The sequence below is a fragment of the Homo sapiens genome, chromosome 3, assembly GCF_000001405.40.
Source record: "Homo sapiens chromosome 3, GRCh38.p14 Primary Assembly".
NCBI classification, from domain to species: Eukaryota; Metazoa; Chordata; class Mammalia; order Primates; family Hominidae; genus Homo; species Homo sapiens.
Window position 1 is genome coordinate 43,363,630 of NC_000003.12, and position 18,252 is coordinate 43,381,881.

The window sequence follows — 18,252 nt, forward strand, 5'->3', positions numbered from 1 at the left end:
AGTGCACTGGAGAGTGAGAGGAGCCGCCTGTGTGGAGTGGGACAGCCCTCCCCCATGGGGAGGGCACCTAGGAAATGTCACCAGCACAGGGCTCAACACGGTCTGCGCTGGTTGTGTGAAAGAGAAGAGTTGGGCTGTGAAGTGAATTGGGCCTGCGGCCAAACCCCCACTGGGGTCAAGTCCCAGTGACAATCTGTGGGACTTGGAGACAGCCTGTATCTCATGGCTTGAGGGAGGCAGGTTAGGGATGCATGCGACAGTCACGACCTCCCTGGCCACTTTTGAGGTGAGGCAGGAGCGCTCGGGCAGGGCTGTCTGCGCAGATACCGCAGGAGCCGCGGGGCACCTAGAGCCCGTCTGAGCAACTTGCAGGGGCGGGGGGCTCCCTGGGAACCCTTCTCCGAGGTCGCAGGTGGAACGGGCTTGCGCGTGAGAACGGGGCCTGGGCTTAACTCACTGGGGCCTCCCCCGGGTGGCCGAGGTTCTTTTCCCACGCCCTGCCCGACAGCTGCTCTCCAGCTGTCCTCCTTGGAAGCTGTCCAGTGCCGGGAGAGCTCTGGGCCTGGGATCCAAATACCTGGGTTCAGTCTCCTGTGGTTCCCTGGCGTGGGCCTCCCTCCTCTAAGCCATGAGGAGTTTGGACCCGGGTTCCGAAGCCTTTCCTACCTGCCCCTGTCCGTCCCTCAGGGGCCGCTGCAGTCTCAGCCTCCTGACTCTTGGCTGCTCTGTCTCTGGGCACTTTTCTTGGCCGGGCGCGGGGCTGGTACCTCCCAGCTCTTGGAAGCCATGGAGGAAGGCGGGCTGGAACCGTCGGGCGGGGGGCGGGGGGCGGGGGGAGTTCACCCTCTGGAGTCCTCAGGGGTGTCGGGGGAACTGGGTGGTCAAAGTGGGGAGGTTCTCTTGGGTAGGGTCACCAGGGGCCCCTAAGGCAGCACCGCCAGGGAGGGTGGGCCCGCAAGAGGCTCGTGGGGGGCGTGGTGGGGTTGGATCTGAGGCTGAGGTGAGGCCAGCAACGAGAGAACAGTGGGCGAGCCAGTGGCCAGAAGGGCTGGGGGATGAAGTGAGGTGCAGGGAAGGGGGTCCCCCAGGGTTCCAGGCGGGGACCGTGACCGCAGGGAATGGCTGTGTGAGGCCAGGGTGTGGGTGGGACGGCATCGGCCTAGATGTCTTCCTCAGTCCAACTTAGATGCGAGGGAGCTATAGAATGTGAAGCAGCAGACACGCTGTTCCTCTACCCCTACTCTTCCAACTATGCCATTGAGTCCTGAGCACCTGCGGCGTGCCAGATGGCACCCACGACAGGCCGGGGGATACAGAAGAGGAACTCGCCACAGCTCCAGCCAGCTAGAGCCTAGCAAACCGCGGCAACCTCCCCGTCCTGCCAATATCCCTTTTGACACAACCCAATTGGTTCCACATCCACCCTCCCCCGTGGCCTTGTGCCTGAGGTCTGGCCCCATTGGAGGGTCCCGTTCTCCCCTGTGCAGTGACTGGCTAAGGCTTAGTTAAGTGGTGTAGTTGTGCCCAATCAGACGCTGAGGAAGGGCAGATGGGCGGCTTCTGGGAAGGGCACAGTCACAGTGCTGGGAGGAGGCTACCTGGCTCTGCGGCACTGCAGGTGGCAAGTGATTTGGTGGCTTCACGTTCCGGGAATCCAGGACCCACTGGTTCACAACCAATTGCATTCATGCGACTGACTCCCAAAGCCGGGCTCTGGGGGATAGGGGGACACTAAGAGCTGGTGCCAAGAGCGCCATTTCAACCCTCTCCTTTCCCAGCAAACAGGCGCCCAGGCTGAAATGGAGTAAAGATCCTGGGTCTCAAGACTCAGGCCTATATTGGTGGCTGCCATTCACTGACATTTCCAAACATGAGCCTGTTCTAGAAACTGTCTGTCAAACACTGAACAACCGCCGAATAACAAGGCCCTGGAGTGGCTCATCCCATGTAAGGGCAGGGACAAAGCTCACTGACATGTGTCCACTCTGTAAAACAGAATGGGCTCACGGGACCAACACAAACACCCATGAAGGGGCAGACAGGGAGAGTCGGGACCTCCAAAGACAAGTGGTGCTTGAATTGGCTTGAGGAGGCTGCCCCATCTCTGAGGTGGAGGAGGGATCAAGATGCCCGACTCCTGAGGTGAGGGAAACAGGCCTCTGCCAACCAGGAAGCATGGCGGCCCTCCCCGCTCTTCACCTTCTCACCTTCTCCGGGTGGGCCAGGGCATCTGCTGCTGTCCGAGTGGAGGTGCCCACGGGTCTGTAGTGTCTTGGCTACAGCAGGACGGCCAGCGCTGGTGGGAAGGGCTGTATACGTGGGCAGCACTGGCCTACATGGCATTCTTGTGCCTGTGAATGCAGGGCAGTCCATGGACACAGCTAGGGAGGTGGGCAGCACCACTGGGCAAGGAGGGCCCTTTTCTCTGCAAGCCCAAGCCCAGGCCAGGGCACCAGGAGTGGCTGCTGGCCCTTGGCTTGGCACCATGGGTACACCCTGCATGTGAAAGCAGCCCTAGTGTCCCTGTAGGTGGGCACCACCAGCAGCAGTTCTCAAAAATGGCCCAGCCTTCAGCTACAAGCTTTGGTGCCTGGCCTCCAGCCAAGCCCCTCACCCTGGGCTCCTGATCTCACCGCTCCACCTTCAGTGACCTCACCAAGTGCTTCAGAAAAGGGAAGCCCATTGCGGTACCTATGTAGGCAGAAGGAGTCAGAGAGGTTGCCTTTAATAGCTCAGTTACTATTGTTTATGTTGATAAAGGGTCTGTTAATGTATTGCAAAAGAGAACCAGGAAAGAGGTCCAGTGTGGGAAGCACTGCCTTACTGTACCCCGCTCACTCTCAACTGAGGCTCCTGTGATGAGCACAGTGGGCACACACCCCATCCCCAACCTGTCCACGGGTCCCTGGGCCATGGTGGGGTTGGGAGTGACACTGCTATGAGGGGAACGTGGAGAGCTGGTGGCTCACTCATGGTGAGAGGCTCAAGGGCGGCAGTGGCTCTGCAGCAAAGTTGGCAGCTGGAGCAGCGTGTGGGGCCCGGGAAGGAACTGGGAAGGAGCAGACAGGGTGGGGCTGGGGGAACTGCCAAGGATCCCGAGCCAAGCCACTGCGAAACTGAGAAGGGTGCTTGCCACATGGGAGCCACTTCGTTTGGCTAAGCATTGGGTCTGGGTTCAGGAGCCACGATGCTGCCCCGGGTACCCCCCCTGCCACCGTGGCAGGTGTGGCACAGACACAGGCCTCTGCCAACAGGGCAGCTGGGCACGCTGGGCACTCAGGTTGCCTTCTCCTTCCCGCTTTCCATTGGTTCCTCCTTCAGGTTCTCGGTCACGAGCTTCATTTGCTGTTAAGAGAAAACAGGACACCAGGTGAGCCACAGAAGCCTAAGTAGTGGCCGAGGCCTCTGCTCTCTGTGGAAGCCTGGCCAGCGGCTTTGACCCCAGGGAAGTGGTGACTCTGATGCTGCCTGCAGCTTCCTGCAAGTCCCTGGGTCTGACTCTGAGGAGATGGGAGACAGTTGGTGTGGTGGAAATGCAATGTCGCACTGTGTGAGCCCAGACCAGCAGGGATTTTAAGGACACTGAAATGAGAAGCAGCTGGCGTCTCCTCCTCCCTGGATGGCCAGGATGAGGGGAATAGGCGGACAGGGCCTGAGAGAGGACGGGGCACAGGCTTGGGACCAAGTGCTTGCTTTGCCCCTGTGCTTTGAGCGACCCTGGCAGTTTGACCTCACTGAGCCGGAGTTTCCAAATCTGCAGTGAGAGCAATAGTGCCTATTTTGCAGGGTGGCTGCAAGTATTGTTGTCCATGAAGTCCCTGGCACAGAACAGATGCCCCAAATCATCAGATGTTTCTCACCAGCCTTTTGTCCCTAGTACAGCCACAGGACTTACACTCACCCCTCCGCCCCCATCCTCACTGGGAACAACCCATGAAGTCTCTGTGAGGGTGACGTCAAGATAGAGGTGCCCTCCTCGAGGGCAGGATGGGAGACTTCCAGGGAGGTGTCAGAAGGGAGAGCCTGTTCCCACAAGTCAGGCAGCGGCGTAGGGGACAGTTCTGCTGCTCCTACCTTCCCCTACCCCAGCCCTGAAGCTCCCAGTCACTTCGGTTTTATGGCTAGAAAACACCACTACAGCTCTGCCCTATTCGTTGAATAAATGAATAACTATAATACTGTGGAAGTTGGCTTCAAACAGATTTTTGATAACAGTGATTCACCTATGGAAAAACAAAACTCTGAGCGCAAACATGGCTGGTACCCCCAGTACCTGGCTACTCATCTTGAGAGCCCCAAGTGCCACCCAGGGCTGGAAGCAATACCATGCTCCCTGTGGCTTTCAGTGGGAGAAGCCCCTTTCACAGACTGTCAATCAAAAGTCCTTGTCTGCTGCTTTAATTTACCCTCCTAAGGATCCTTTAGATCTGCAGCACCTCAGGAAGGTGCTCTCAACTCCTGACCATTCTCATGTTTTCTGAGCCTGGCCTGTCTCCCACAGGGCGGCTCATGATGGCTCCTGGAAGCTGAGCCCTCTGCATTTGGCTTGGGGAGGGGACTGGCTGGCCCTTTCTTATCCAGGTCTAAGCAGGGCTTAGGAGATGGCTTTTGATGAGAAAGGGGGCTACGGAGAGTCAAGGTGACCAGTTTACCTGCGGTGGGGGTAAGAGGGTTCTTTCTGCAGGGGCCACAGCATTTCAGTAGGCCTGGAGTAGGGGGTAGACACACAAGTTAACACTGGCCCAGGGACATGCCCTGTCCAAATGACCCACCACTGCAAGATTTCTATAACCTTCATCCTGCCAGGGGGATAGAGATGGTTTAATAGTTCACAAACCTAGAAAGGCTGAACTGCTAGGCACTGTAAAAGTCTCCCCAGAGTTTTTTGCATCTGCTACCTCTTCCATTACTAACATTTCAGGTCTTCCCACAAGCCCATGCTGTTAACTACAGATATAAAATATCACCATAAATAAAAACTGTAATATTTCAGCCCAGGTTCACTGCAGACTCTTCTAGCTGTTATCATTTAATACTTGTAAGACTTTTAAAATGTCTTTTTTTTTTTTTTTCAAGAGCCAGGGTCTCACTTTGTTGCCCAGGCTGGAGTGCAGAGGCGTGATCACACTGCAACCTCGAACTCCTGGGCTCAAGGGATCCTCCTGCCTCAATTTCCCAAGTAGCTGGGACTACGGGCATGAGCCACTGTGTGCGGTAAATTTAACTAAACTAAAACAATAATGAAGACAGAACATTCCCCAGCTTGTCACGGAATCTTGCAGCCACATTTCCCTGGCATTCCACATGGGGAAGAAAATCAAAATGGGAGCATCTGAGGCTCCTTTCAAGGCATGGTGGCTGGAAGCCCCGTGAGGTCAGGCACAGAAGCATCCAGCAGCTCTCTGGGAGGGGCCCCCTGCTCCACAGTAGCCAGGGTGGATGGGCCTTCTCCTCCAAATGACCAAACCCAATGTGACTTTTGTCTCACTTCCTGGGGCTGCTTCTGGGGTGCCCCCCACTTGTCCTTATAACTGATGTGCCCATGAGGGGCTTCTTCAGGGCCACAGCCCCTTCTCTCAGGCCCAGGGTTGGGGGCTTCACCCAAGTTCAGGGAAGGAACTCGGAACCCACTTGGCTGGGTTCCTCCCACCTGCAGTGCCTGCCTTGCTCAGGGCAGCACCTAAGAGCCTGAGGATGTCCACGAGGTCACAAGGTCATCTGCACTGAACTGCACTACTGGTGGCAAAGGTAGAAAGAATGGCCAGGGACCCTACAGTCCTCCCTTGCCTCAGGCCAGGCAGGAGCCATTTGCACATTTCTGCTCTTTCCTTCACCTGTCCTGGAGCAAGGCTTCTTTTAAAGCCATGAATGACCAAGCCTCACTGGAGTGTTCTGTGATCCCCAAGTTGGGCCACGGCCATGGGATGTCTCAAGGCCAGCTTGGCAGCCAGGGGAACAGGAGGGGACAGGAAGGCTGTGCTCCCAGGGCCTCCACAGGGCAGTGGCAGACCAGGTGGTTTCCTTCCAAGGGCACTCTCCCTCCCAGGGCCATGGTATGGAGGGGGGCTCAGCTCGACTCCCTGGGTTGCCTGTGCCCACAATCCCCAGCTGGAAGACCCTAAGCCAATGGCAGAACCAGAAATTAAAACCTGCAGCTAAAGTCCAAAGAAAAACCCAAGCGATTTGGAGGAAATGAGCTGCAACAGCCCGCTTTCCTGAGACAAGCTAAGTTGTCATGAAATCAGTGGCTGACATTCACACCTTTTCTGTGTAAATGGGGCAGGCCTCTACCTCCCTTGGCTGCAAATGGAGTCAGAGCCACAGATACTCATTACCGGCTGGCTGGCCCTAAGATGGCTTCTCTTAGGTAAACCAATTGCTATCTACCACTCATGAGTCTGCAACCCTCAGTATGGGGGTCATGCGACGTACAACAGGAATATCCCATTTGTTTTCCAGGAGGGCTGTCCTCCTGGTGAAGAGGAGGCTGAGCCCTAACCACAGCCCTGGCCCAAGAGCACTTCCCACACCCTCCCCGATGGGGAAGTGGTGAGCACTGGCAGAAGTGATGTCAGGATCACAGAATTTATGATTAGGAAGGAACCCTGAAGAACAGTCAGTCTCATGGCCACTTAAGAATCCTGAGACCTGGTTAAATGCAGGCCCTGCAGTGGACCCCAGACTCTCTGAATTTTTAACGAGCCTTCGAGTTTTTCCACTGGCCACCCCAGGCTTGCAAGTCTCTGATTTGTTGTCTGTCACCTTTCACAAATAAGCGAGCTGGGGCCAGGAGGGGTGAAACAGATTTCTCCCAGGCCATACTGCAGGCTCTGGCTGCGTGGGCTGGGACGGTGCCTAGGCACCAGGCTGCCTCTGGCAGCTCAGTTCTTTGGCTTCTTCTCCTTAACAAACCTGGCTGGAGGGTGGGTGGGGTGGGAGGGAGCAACAATATCCCCTTAAAAAAAACCTGGCTTCTTTGGGGATCCTTAAATTAAAATCTTCATAAAAATATAAGCAAGATAATAGAGCTGACGACTTCTCCAAAAAAGTATCAAAATGGAGACAGAATGGAATTTTCCCCTAACTTGTGACTCATTAAAACACCCATGCTCCAAATTATTCTTTAAAAAGCACTGACTAATTTTTTGCATCATTATTAGTAATGATTATAATAGGAACCTAATCATTAAGTGTGTTGGCCAAATGCACAGCTTGACCTGAGGAAGACTGTGTGACCAGATCCCCTTGTCTCTGTGGAGAAGTACAGAAATACTTTCTGAGAATTGCAATGCTTCCCACAGACCTGGAATGGCCATGGTGGACTCCATAGACTTGTGATAACCATGGTGGACACCACGGACCTCAAATGGCCCCTTCTCCCTCCCAGCCTTGTAGCAGAGACTCCTTCTGGCTGAGCCCACAATAAACTTTAGGATCCTTCTATTCATAGCATTCAGGGAATCACTACCATTTGATTACATCTCCTGCTCAATTTGAAATCTACTAGCAACTACTCCATTACCCCTTCTCACCCCTGCCCCCCGTCCCAAACCAAGACCTACAGAAGGAATCTGTCTGGGGAGCCCTTGGCTGAAGGATAGAAAATCCCATGCGTCATCAGTTACTGTTCACTAGTGGCCTCACCGTCCATGTCCTCTGAGTGCAGGGTGCAGTGGCTGGGATACAGCCAGGCTGCTGGCCACATAGGGTGTCTAGGAATGGAGTTCTCAGGCCACTTCAGCCCAGCAGCAGCACCTGGTTCCCCCGAGCCACCCCAGCCTTGGGTGTGCAGGCCTGAGATGGAGCATCATGATCACCCATTCCTACTCCCCGACCCAAAGTCTGATTTAATGCACCTAAGTGTGGCCTGGGCACAGGGACTTTTCAAAGCTCCCCAACTGATTCTAACATGCAGCTGAGGTAGAGAGCCACTGCCTGAAACGAAGCCACCCTCCAAGTCTCCCTGAGAAGGGGAATGGCGGGGAAGAAGGGAGGATCAACTTCGAGCCTCCTCCACTCAAGCTGTGCACACACCCCTTATTCACACCTTGCAACCACAAGCAAGGGCTTCTCTACAGGTGTCACTGACATGGCCCTGGGGACTCACAAGGCTAGGCAGCTTATTGAGGACATGCAGCTAGAGTCAGGGCAAAAATCAAGCAACAGCCTGACAATTCAGACAAAAAAGGACAGTGGGGCTTCTGAAGCACCTATTTTCACAGACTTTTTATTTGTTATCTCTATTGAAAAGTTTACCTCAGTGTTCTGAAAATATCATAATATAATGATTAAAAAGTCCAAGCCTGTCTGGGCTTGGTGGTGCCATAAGGCTCTAAACAGCCACGACAGCAGTGAGTAGAGGGGCAGGAAGGTGCTTGCAGCAGCCTGTCAGGCGGTCCTGGAGGGAGTTACATCCACCTCTCCCTCTGATTGTTGCTTCATTTTAACACTTGACAAAATGTAAAAATGTAAGACTTGCAGGCAACCACAAGTGCCAGTGCTCCAGCTCCCACCTCCCACCCCAGCCAGCCTTTCTCCCAGTCATCCCCATCTCAGGAAGCAGTGCCACCACCAGCCAGCATCTCAGACCATGGAACTTCGGCCATCTCTGCGGATGCCTGCTCCCCCGGCCCAGCCCCTCTACCTGTCACACACGCACTGCTCCTGCCTCCCTCCTCAAGGCTGTGCCCCTGCCTGCACTGAGACGGCACCCCAGACCATCCCACTCTTGTCTCAAGGCAGCCCAAGCAGGGTTTTAAACGGGGGGCTGTAGTATGCCACTCCAAGGTCCCTACCATGCTGGGGACTACAGTTCACCCCTTCTTGTCTCTCATCCTTGTCCCCTGCTGCCCCGCAATCCAACCTTGGTTCTGCTCCAGCCACCAGCTCCCTCCACCCAGGCTTGCCTGCCCTGCCTGAGCTTTGCTGGCAACTCCTTTCTGCCACTCAGTCCTCAGCCTGTCTCCTCCTCATCCCTCTATTTCCTCCTCCCCCGTCACCATCCCATCCCTCTATTTCAATTGCTGCACTCCTCGCATTACCATCTGGTTTATTCATTGTTTGCAGATTTTTTTTCTGTCTTAAATGTTCTATCCTACCTGGTATGTGGTCTCCAGAGAGCAGGGCCATGACTAGACCCCAGGACCTATGACAGTGCCTGGCACTGAGTTGGTGCTCCATGAATACCGTGGAAGAGAGACCAGCTTGCAGCTTGCAGCCTGCAGTAGCAGCCAGAGAAATTCTAATTTAGCCAGTAACCTCAGTGTAATTCCGATGAACTTGTGAAGCCTCTTTTTTTCATGCGTATGAAAGAGAAAAGCCTCTTTTCTCATGTAACACATATTCAAGTTCTTGAAGTCAGCATCACTCTCTGGCCCACAAATTGGCCAATCCCATGTATGGGATCACAGAAAACACACCAGTAGGATGGGCTTTATGTCAGAAGCACCGGGTTTCAGGGTTCCCAGCAGCTACCTGCCCTGGTAACAATGCAGATTTGGGTCCCAGCCTAAGGTTTTGACTCAGAAGCTGGGTGAAGGGGTGGGTGGCAGAAATCATGGCTAGCAAGCTCAAGCTGGGTGAGGGTCAGGGGTGGAGTGACGGGCGAGTGTGACAGAAATCATGATTAGCAAGCTCAGATGTGGCTCTGGTGAAGCGGAAGGTGGTCTGCAGTTACAGCTGTGTGGGAGGAGCACGGTGCCAAATTATCAGCTTGGTCCCAGCTAGAAACAAAGACTCCGCCAAGAAAATCAAATCCCCATTCCAGAAAGGCTCCCGCTCACACAACAGGAGACATGTGAGGGAGTCTATGACACAGGCCATTAACTGCATGAGCTAACCGTGGGGTGGGTGGATGTCAGTTCAAAAGGGGAAACAAAGGTGTAATGTCTGTTTCTCAAATGATCTTTTGAGCCCTGCTTTCTCTGCACATCTGGGTTTCAGAGCAAAATTTCCCAAAACAGAAGTTAAAGGACTTTGAAAGGAGATATTTTGAGACTGCAAATTACTTCCCATGGAGAGTGAGGTGCCTATAGAAGCCAGAGGCTGGCTTTCCAGCCATCCCCAGGCACACACTCATTCTGACCGCTTCTGGAACAGGAAGCTAGTCATGTCTGATTAACTACAGCCACCTCCCAAATCTGGGAGTTGGAATCCTCACATACCAACCAACGCTACAGGCCATGAGGTTCCACAGGTGGCCAGAAAGAGCTGGATGCTAACACAAAATGACCAAGCAAAACTGACCCACCTCCCTGGGTCTGGGAAATGTCGTCAGAGGCAGCAAGCCCTCATCAGGGCTGCTCATCGCCTCTGTCCTTTCATGTTCTATCAGTGGACACTGATATTTTCTCCAAGTTATGGATACCCCAAATATACACGAAATCACCTAGTAACTAAACCAAGAGATCCTTCTGCAGAACCCCCAGGCTTCAGCATGGAGTGGACGCACCCATCTAGATGGTTCCTCCAGGCTGTGGGGCTCAGGTCCATGGGTCTGGGCATCAGTCCTATGCTTCCTAGGGTTCCCTGTGCCAGGTTCATGCCAATCTTGGCTACTTAACTCCCCATTTCCTGCATTTCTAATTGCTCTTGTACAGCAAAACCTCTTTTTAACCTCCTTTGTTGATATAACTTTTAATGTCTGTTATATTACCTGTGTGTAATTTAAATTCATAGTGCCCAACACTTACATCACATTGCACGCCAGGCACTGTTCTAAACACTATGCACATTTGATTTACTCCTCATAACCACCCTATGAGAGACATACCATTATGATTTTAAAGAAAAAACAGAGGCACATAAAGGTTGAGAAACTTGCACCAGGTTATAGCAGGTTTGAGCCCAGGCCGTCTGGCTCCAGAGCTGGCTCCTAACCTACAGGCTGCCCGGCCCCTACCCTGATGTTGGATCTAGACGTTTCATTTTTGTACTATAATAATATCACCCAACTATCCACTGGGGTCACCTGTGCTTTGAGATTCAGATTCAACTGGATCACACTTCTAATCCATGAGATCTTGCGAGTATCTCTGAATTATTGGTGTGGATCCAATTTTGTCTTGTCACACCTGGCTCAGATTTTCTGCTTCTGCTAAATCTCTGAAACCATGGCAGCCTGGCTCCAGATACACCAGGTTAACCCTATCTTGATCTGTATGCACACATTTTAGCAAGATATTAAAGAGTGCTTAAAACTTTAAGAACTGGCCGGGCGCGGTGGCTCACACCTGTAATCCCAGCACTTTGGGAGGCCGAGGTGGACACATGACTTGAAGTCAGGAGTTCAAGACCAGCCTAGCCAACATAGTGAAACTCCGTCTCTACTAAAAATACAAAAATTAGCTGGGCGTGGCGGCAGGCACCTGTAATCCCAGCTACTCAGGAGGCTGAGGCAGGAGAACCACATGAACCCGGGAGGCGGAGGGTGCAGTGAGCCGAGATTGCGCCACTACACTCCAGCCTGGGTGACAGAGTGAAACTCTGTCTCAAAAAAAAAACAAACAACAAAAAACTTTAAGAATCATTTTTTTGGGTGGGCGCAGTGGCTCATGCTGGTAATCCCAGCACTTTGGGAGGCCAAGGCAGGTGGATCACCTGAGGTCAGGAGTTTGAGACCAGCCTGGCCAACATGGTGAAACCCTGTCTCTACTAAAAATACAAAAAAAATAGACAGGCGTGGTGGCGGGCGCCTGTAATCCCAGCTACTCGGGAGGCTAGTGTAGGAGAATCGCTTGAACCCGAGAGGTGGAGGTGGCAGTGAGCCGAGAATGCACCATTGCACTCCAGCTTGGGTGACAAGAGGGAAACTCTGTCTCAGAAAAAGAGAATCAAGTTTTAAAAAATATCCAGAAGTCCTTGATGATTTTTTTTTTTAAAGAAAGGCTTCCAAAGGGAACAAGAATAAGAAAATGTGGAAACCACAGTGAGACAGTTGGCAAAATCACAAACGCTAGAGCAGCTGAAACTCAGATGCGGAGACACTTCCTTTAAACACAAATGATTTAGACCAGGTCTCCTACTCTCCTAGCTAAAAGAGGCAGGTGAATCCTTGAAGTCACAACTTCCTCAGAATCCTCAGGCAGGACTCCCTGGACTCCAGAGTCAGAGAGAGCAACAGGACAGTTTATTCCCCCCTTGTCCATGGCAAGCCACAGGAGCCTGGGGGAGAAGGTGTCTTCCTAGAACAGAAGCTCCTTGGGGGATGAATTTAATGCCATATAATATTTTTTGTTTGTTCATTTTTGTTTGTTTTTACAACTTTGTCACATTCAATATTTTTAATAAGTAAAAAACAGGCATGTGCTTTAAATATTATCCAACTTATTACCAACTGCACCCCATTAAAAGGTGTGACCTGGAGGAAAGAGAATGGAAGGAGCCCCTTGGTGGTTCATTGCTGTGTGTGCCCCAGATGTGTTCTGATGGCCTCTTGTCACCAACTGGCTGGTGATGGAGAGCTGCTGAAGAGCACCTCCAACAAAGAGCATGGCAAGAACCAGAAACCTCGATCCGCAAGGGACTGCAGTTTACTAAACACATAAAAGGGAGCAGAAACATTAATAAATTATTCAGGAACAAGAAAGGTTAAAATAAGCCATATCTCCTCCACTGGATGAAGAGAAAAAGCTAGTAACAGATGTTGCTTAAAAGGCTGAATTGAATGGACGGTTTTTTGAAACATCCTGATATGAGCATGGAGAACAGTGGGCTGGGGGTGTCCTGGGGACATCAACCAAGGGGACTAGAGCAGTGGCCTGAGGCTGAGACAGGGGCAGTATTTTGACACTTGTAAAGTAGAGGTATAATTATAAATAAAAAGAATCAAAGTCCCTAACATCAAAAGCAAACTATGACTAATCTTAAAGAAGTAATATAATTATATACGAAAGCTACAATTACTTCTGGAATGACCATCAACTATGTGTGTTATGGCAACATAGGTAAGAGGGCAACAAAGTGAGGAAGACATGGGAATGATGTTCCCAGATGGGAGGACCAAAAAGACAATGAAGGTGACACCAATTCTGAGAAAGGGGGAAATTTTCATATTTTTGCAAATAATAATGTAAAAATAACATGTAATCAGTTTGCCTCCAAATCACAGGGCAAAGAATGAAGTTTCTTTTTAAAATGACTTTGGCATGGCTCCTTTCTAGTTTCACTGTAACTAGATCTACAGGTGTGATGTTATTTTGCAAACAGAAATGCGAAGAGGAGATCTTCCACCCAGGTTCTGCTGTAATATGGCAGTGAGCTGTTTCAGATGCCAGCGAGGTCTACAATCTTCTTGTGTATTATCCTCAGCCCCATGATACTGACACATTCAGTGATGTTACTAGGACATTGTCCCAATTGTTCAGGTCATCTAGATGACCAAGAGCATCTGGTCTGGAGGAGACATTTCCTGGACAAGACTTACATAGCATGACTTCTTTTTTAAAACAATATTTAAATTACTTTTTTTTTGAGACAGGGTTTCACTCTGTCACCTAGGCTGGAGTGGAGTGCAGTGGCACAATCACAGCTCACTGCAGCCTGGACCTTCCGGGATCAGGTGATCCTCCCACCTCAGCCTTCTGAGTAGCTGGGAGGCTGGAGTGTGCCACTACACCCAGCTAATTTTTTGCATATTTTGTAGAGATGGGGTTTCACCATGTTGCCCAGGCTTGTCTTGAACTCCTGGTTCAAGTGATCTGCCTGCCTCGGCCTTCCAAAGCACTGGGATTACAGGTGTGAGCCCCCGCACAGGGCCCACAGCATCACTTCTTCAGGAAGGCTCTCCCTCCTCCTTGCCTGGGAGGAAGGGTGCCAAGTCCTTCAGGAATAACTACTTTCTGGTCTGGAAGCCCTTGGAGCCAAGGAGGGCGGCAGCATTGTTCTTTCACAAGCCAGAGAACCCCCTATGTTGTCATACAGGTCACCTGGGGCCCTTGGGAGATAAGACCCAGAGAGGTCTGTGACCATCCAAGGCCAAGATGACCATCTAGCCAGCCCTCATCTTTGATCTGAGGTTCCATGTTGATAGCTAGAGAGCCAGGGCTCAGGTTCAGGCCAGAAGAGGAGGCGTGGCCAGGCCAGTGGACACCAAGCACAAGTGGCTGTTCCAAAGAAACCCCCGCAGGCTCCTTCAGTGAAAGCCATGGCTAGGTGACATTTACAGATCCAGGAATTGAAGCCTTGACAGTTTGGTTAGATCAAGGAATGACACAAAAGTTTAAAAGCCCAAAGAATAGGAATAAACACTCTAGAAATCAAAGAGTCTCTAAAAGGACCCTGAACTGGGGTGGCACAGTGGTGGCCATCTGAGAAAAGATGCCTTGGTGATCAGAGGTAATCCAGTGTCCAGCCTCCCACTGCAGTCCCGACTCATGGAGTATGAGGGGACACAATTTCACTGTCGCATGAGAAAGAAACTCAGTTTAGAAAGTTAAAGGATGAAGTAAGAGCCTACTAAATGAAATGCAGGAGACAGTCCACTGCCCACATCAGTTTCAACACAACTTAGTAAATATTACTCTTAACTATAAAGGGAGAACAACCTTTAATCTAAGAAAACACTGCCAGTGGCCACAAGGAAAGTGAAAGTGGGATGAGTAGGAGCAGCTGCCAAAGGGTGAGCTCCTTCTCTGCCCAGAAAAGCTCTGCACCCACTTTCTGCACACCTAGGAAGGTAAAGGAGGCACCCAGGCATCAAAGGACCCCTGGTGGTGGCAGAGGGGATTGGTTCCATTCTTAAGAAACACTAAGGCCATCACCAAGGTGAAAACAGATCCTTATGAAATGCAGCCACAACTGCAGACCGCAGAGAAAGTATAAATGTTTCCCATCACCTTTACAATCTTTCCCAGGGCAGTTTTCCCCACATCTGAACACTGTATGGCCCTTTGATAAATGCAAATATCTATATCTTCTATAATGTCATTTAAAATTTCAATATTACTATTATGAGTAAAACAAAATTGATAATTACAACATTATGATTTTTAAAACTCTATATCCCCTCACTGTACAAGAGATTACCATGTACCCTTCCCCCCAGAGCAGGGCCCTGTTCCTGGCCAGTTGAGAAGGGCTACCCCTGGGTGATGACGGCTGTGAGTCATCAGAATTGCAGGCACTAGGCACCCCTTCTATAGAGCCTGGGTAAAGCTGGAGCCAGGGATGGTTGACTTGACTATGCTTGATTTTTGTGTAGGAACAACACAGTAAGTGTTAGGCAGGGATTCTAGCCTTTATTCACTTGACATCATTTTCCCTCAGAAAAGTTAATTTTTACTCATTCCCACCTAGAAACCTCAACAAGCAGGATTAATTACTGCTTCTTCCCAACACCTTTCATTTCACTTTAATTTTCCATTACCTATATCCCTTCCTGAGTGGCAGTCCCTGTAACCAATACTGATCACTAAATACAGGTTGATGAAAACATCATTGAACATTCCTCACTGCTATGCTACAGGATCCTGAGCACACACGGCAGCCAGTCAATATTTTCGCAAATCTAGAACTCAAGTGACACAATGCTGTCCCAGTTGGTGACAAAAGGCCATCAAAACACATCTTGGGATACATACAGCACTGAACTACCAACAGACTGTCTTTCTTTTTCCTCCAGGTTACATATTTTAGTCGGGTACTGTTAGTAATTAATTGGATAATATTTAAAGCATATGTTTTTTATTAAAAATATTGAATGTGCTTTTGCAATTGGAGAACTTAGAAGAAGTGAGGAGTGAGCCCTGAACCTGAAAATGGCAAATAGAAGGAAGGACTAACTTGCAGCTTCCACTCAGGCAAACAGAGCAGTGTGTGGAGGCCCACATCGTGAACTTTTGCTCCAAGAACTACTGCAGGAACATACCAGGAAAGCCAAGAGAATCCACAGACCCTTTAAAGGAGATGGACTGCCTCCAGGCTCTGTGGGACAGCCAGGAACTGTGAGTCTGCTTGCTTTCTCAGCTGGGAGGCATGTAGCCTAGAGAAAGTTCTCAGCCCTGGAAATAAACTCAGCGCTGTTGTGGGGGCACGGTGGGAGGGAGACTGGCCTTTTGGGCTGTGGGCTGCATAGGAGCTGGGTGAGGGCTGTGGCTGCCAGCTTTCCCCAACTTCCCTGATGACCTGTGTGATACAGCAGAGGCAAGGTTGTTTAACACCCCCAAAAGATCACACTAGCTCACCAGCAATGGATCCAAACCAAGATCAAATCTCTGAATTGCCAGAAAAAGAATTCAGAAGGTTGACTATTAAGCCAATCAAGGAGGCACCAGAGAAAGGCGAAGTCCAACTTAAATAAATAAAAAACAAAATGATGCAGGATATGAATGGAAAAATCTCCAGTGAAATAGATAGCATAAATAAAAAACCATCACAACTTCTGGAAATTAAGGATGCACTTAGAGAACTGCAAAATGCACTGGAAGTCTCAGCAACAGAATCGAACCAACAGAAGACAGAATTTCAGAGCTCAAAGACAAGGCTTTCAAATTAACCCCATCTGACAAAGAAAAAGAATTTAAAAAAATTAACAAAGCCTCCGAGAAGTTTGGGATTATGTTAAACAACCAAACCTAAGAATAATTGGTGTTCTCAAGGAAGAAGAGAAATCTAAAAGTTTGGAAAACATATTTGAGGGAATAATTGAGGAAAACTTCTCCAGCATTGCTAGAAATCTAACATCCAAATACAAGAAGCTCAAAGAACACCTGGGAAATACATCACAAAAAGATTATCACTTAGGGACATAGTCATCAGGCTATCTAAGGTCAAGATGAAGGAAAGAATCTTAAGAGCTGGGAGGCAAATACATCAGGTAACCTACAAAGGAACCTATCAGATTAACCTATCAGATTAACAGCAGATTTCTCATCAGAAACCCTACAAGCTAGAAGGGATTGGGGTCCTATCTTTAGCCTCCTTAAACAAAACAATTGGCCAAGAATTTTGTGTCTACCGAAACTAAGCTTCATAAATGAAGGAAAGATACAGTCTTTTTCAGACAAACAAATGCTGAGAGAATTCGCCACTACCAAGCCAGCACTATAAAAACTGCTAAAAGGAGCTCTAAATCTTGAAACAAATCCTCAAAATACACCAAAATAGAACCTCCTTAAAGTATAAATCTCACAGGACCTATAAAACACCACCACAATGAAAAAAACAAGGCATTCAGGCAACAAATAGCATGTTGAATAGAATAGTACCTCACATCTCAATACTAACTGTATTAATCCGTTCTCACGCTGCTATGAAGAAGTGCCCAAGACTGGATAATTTACAAAGAAAAGAGGTTTAATTAACTCACATTTACGCATGGCCCAGGAAACATACAATCATGGCGGAAGGGGAAGCAAATACGTCCTTCTTCACATGGTGGCAGGAGAGAGAAGCGCCGAGCAAAGGGGTACAAGCCCCTTATAAAACCATCAGATCTCATGAGAACTCACCCGCCACCATGAGAAGAACAGCATGAGGGTAACCGCCCCCATGATTAAAACAGCTCCCACTGGGCCCTCCCATGACACATGGGGATTATGGAAACTACAATTCAAGATGAGATCTGGGCCAGGACATGGTCAACCCATGTCACTAATGTTGAATGTAAATGGCCTAAATGCTTCACTTAAAAGATACAGAATGGCAGAAGGGAAAAGAATTCACCAACCAAGTATCTGCTGCTGCCTTCAGGAGACTCACCTGACACATAAGAACTCACATAAACTTAAGGTAAAGGGGTGGAAAAAGATATTCCATGAAAATGGACACCAAAAGCAAGCAGGAGTAGCCAGTCTTATATCAGACAAAACAAACTTTAAAACAACAACAGTTAAAAAGGACAAACAGGGACATGATATAATGATAAAAGAAATAGTCCAACCAGAAAATATCACAATCTTAAATATATATGCACCTAACACTAGAGCTCCCAAATTTATAAAACAATTACTCCTAGACCTAAGAAATGAAATAGACAGCAACACGATAATAGTGGGGGACTTCAATACTCCACTGACAGCACTAGACAGGTCATTAAGACAGAAAGTCAACAAAGAAACAACAGACTTAAACTATACCCTAGAACAAATGGACTTAACAGATATTTACAGAACATTCTACTCACAACTGCAGAATATACATTCTACTCATAAGCACATGGAACATTCTCCAAGATAGACCATACAACGGGCCACAAAACAAGTCTCAACAAATATAAGAAAATCGAAATTATGGCAAGTACTCTCTCAGACCACA

At 49.6% G+C, this 18,252-nt stretch overlaps 1 protein-coding gene across 12 annotated transcripts in view, besides 3 other annotated features; it reads right to left on the reverse strand.

Annotated features, from left to right (window-relative positions):
• ANO10 (anoctamin 10) overlaps positions 2,219 to 18,252 on the reverse strand; it is a 325,747-nt gene continuing 309,713 nt past the window's right edge. For 11 of the 12 annotated variants that reach the window (NM_001346469.2, NM_001346468.2, NM_001204833.3 and 8 more), the window contains one exon: positions 2,219 to 3,345. In NM_001346469.2, the coding sequence (NP_001333398.1) occupies positions 3,277 to 3,345 (69 nt within the window). In that variant the 3' untranslated portion in view covers positions 2,219 to 3,276. Of the gene's footprint in view, positions 3,346 to 9,098; positions 9,219 to 18,252 lie in introns of all 12 variants that reach the window. The other variant, NM_001204831.3, reaches the window with a different exon arrangement.
• Positions 5,802 to 6,302: an enhancer, noted in NCBI's record as "H3K4me1 hESC enhancer chr3:43410923-43411423 (GRCh37/hg19 assembly coordinates)". NCBI's record gives its function as "activates a minimal SCP1, AML or CMV promoter by ChIP-STARR-seq in naive H9 embryonic stem cells {active_cell/tissue: H9 hESC(naive)}" and the evidence as "EXISTENCE:reporter gene assay evidence [ECO:0000049][PMID:30033119]".
• Positions 7,930 to 8,511: an enhancer, noted in NCBI's record as "H3K27ac-H3K4me1 hESC enhancer chr3:43413051-43413632 (GRCh37/hg19 assembly coordinates)". NCBI's record gives its function as "activates a minimal SCP1, AML or CMV promoter by ChIP-STARR-seq in naive H9 embryonic stem cells {active_cell/tissue: H9 hESC(naive)}" and the evidence as "EXISTENCE:reporter gene assay evidence [ECO:0000049][PMID:30033119]".
• Positions 14,548 to 14,842: a silencer, noted in NCBI's record as "tiled region #1625; HepG2 Repressive non-DNase unmatched - State 13:Ctcf". NCBI's record gives its function as "represses a minimal TATA promoter and a strong SV40 promoter by Sharpr-MPRA in HepG2 cells {active_cell/tissue: HepG2}" and the evidence as "EXISTENCE:reporter gene assay evidence [ECO:0000049][PMID:27701403]".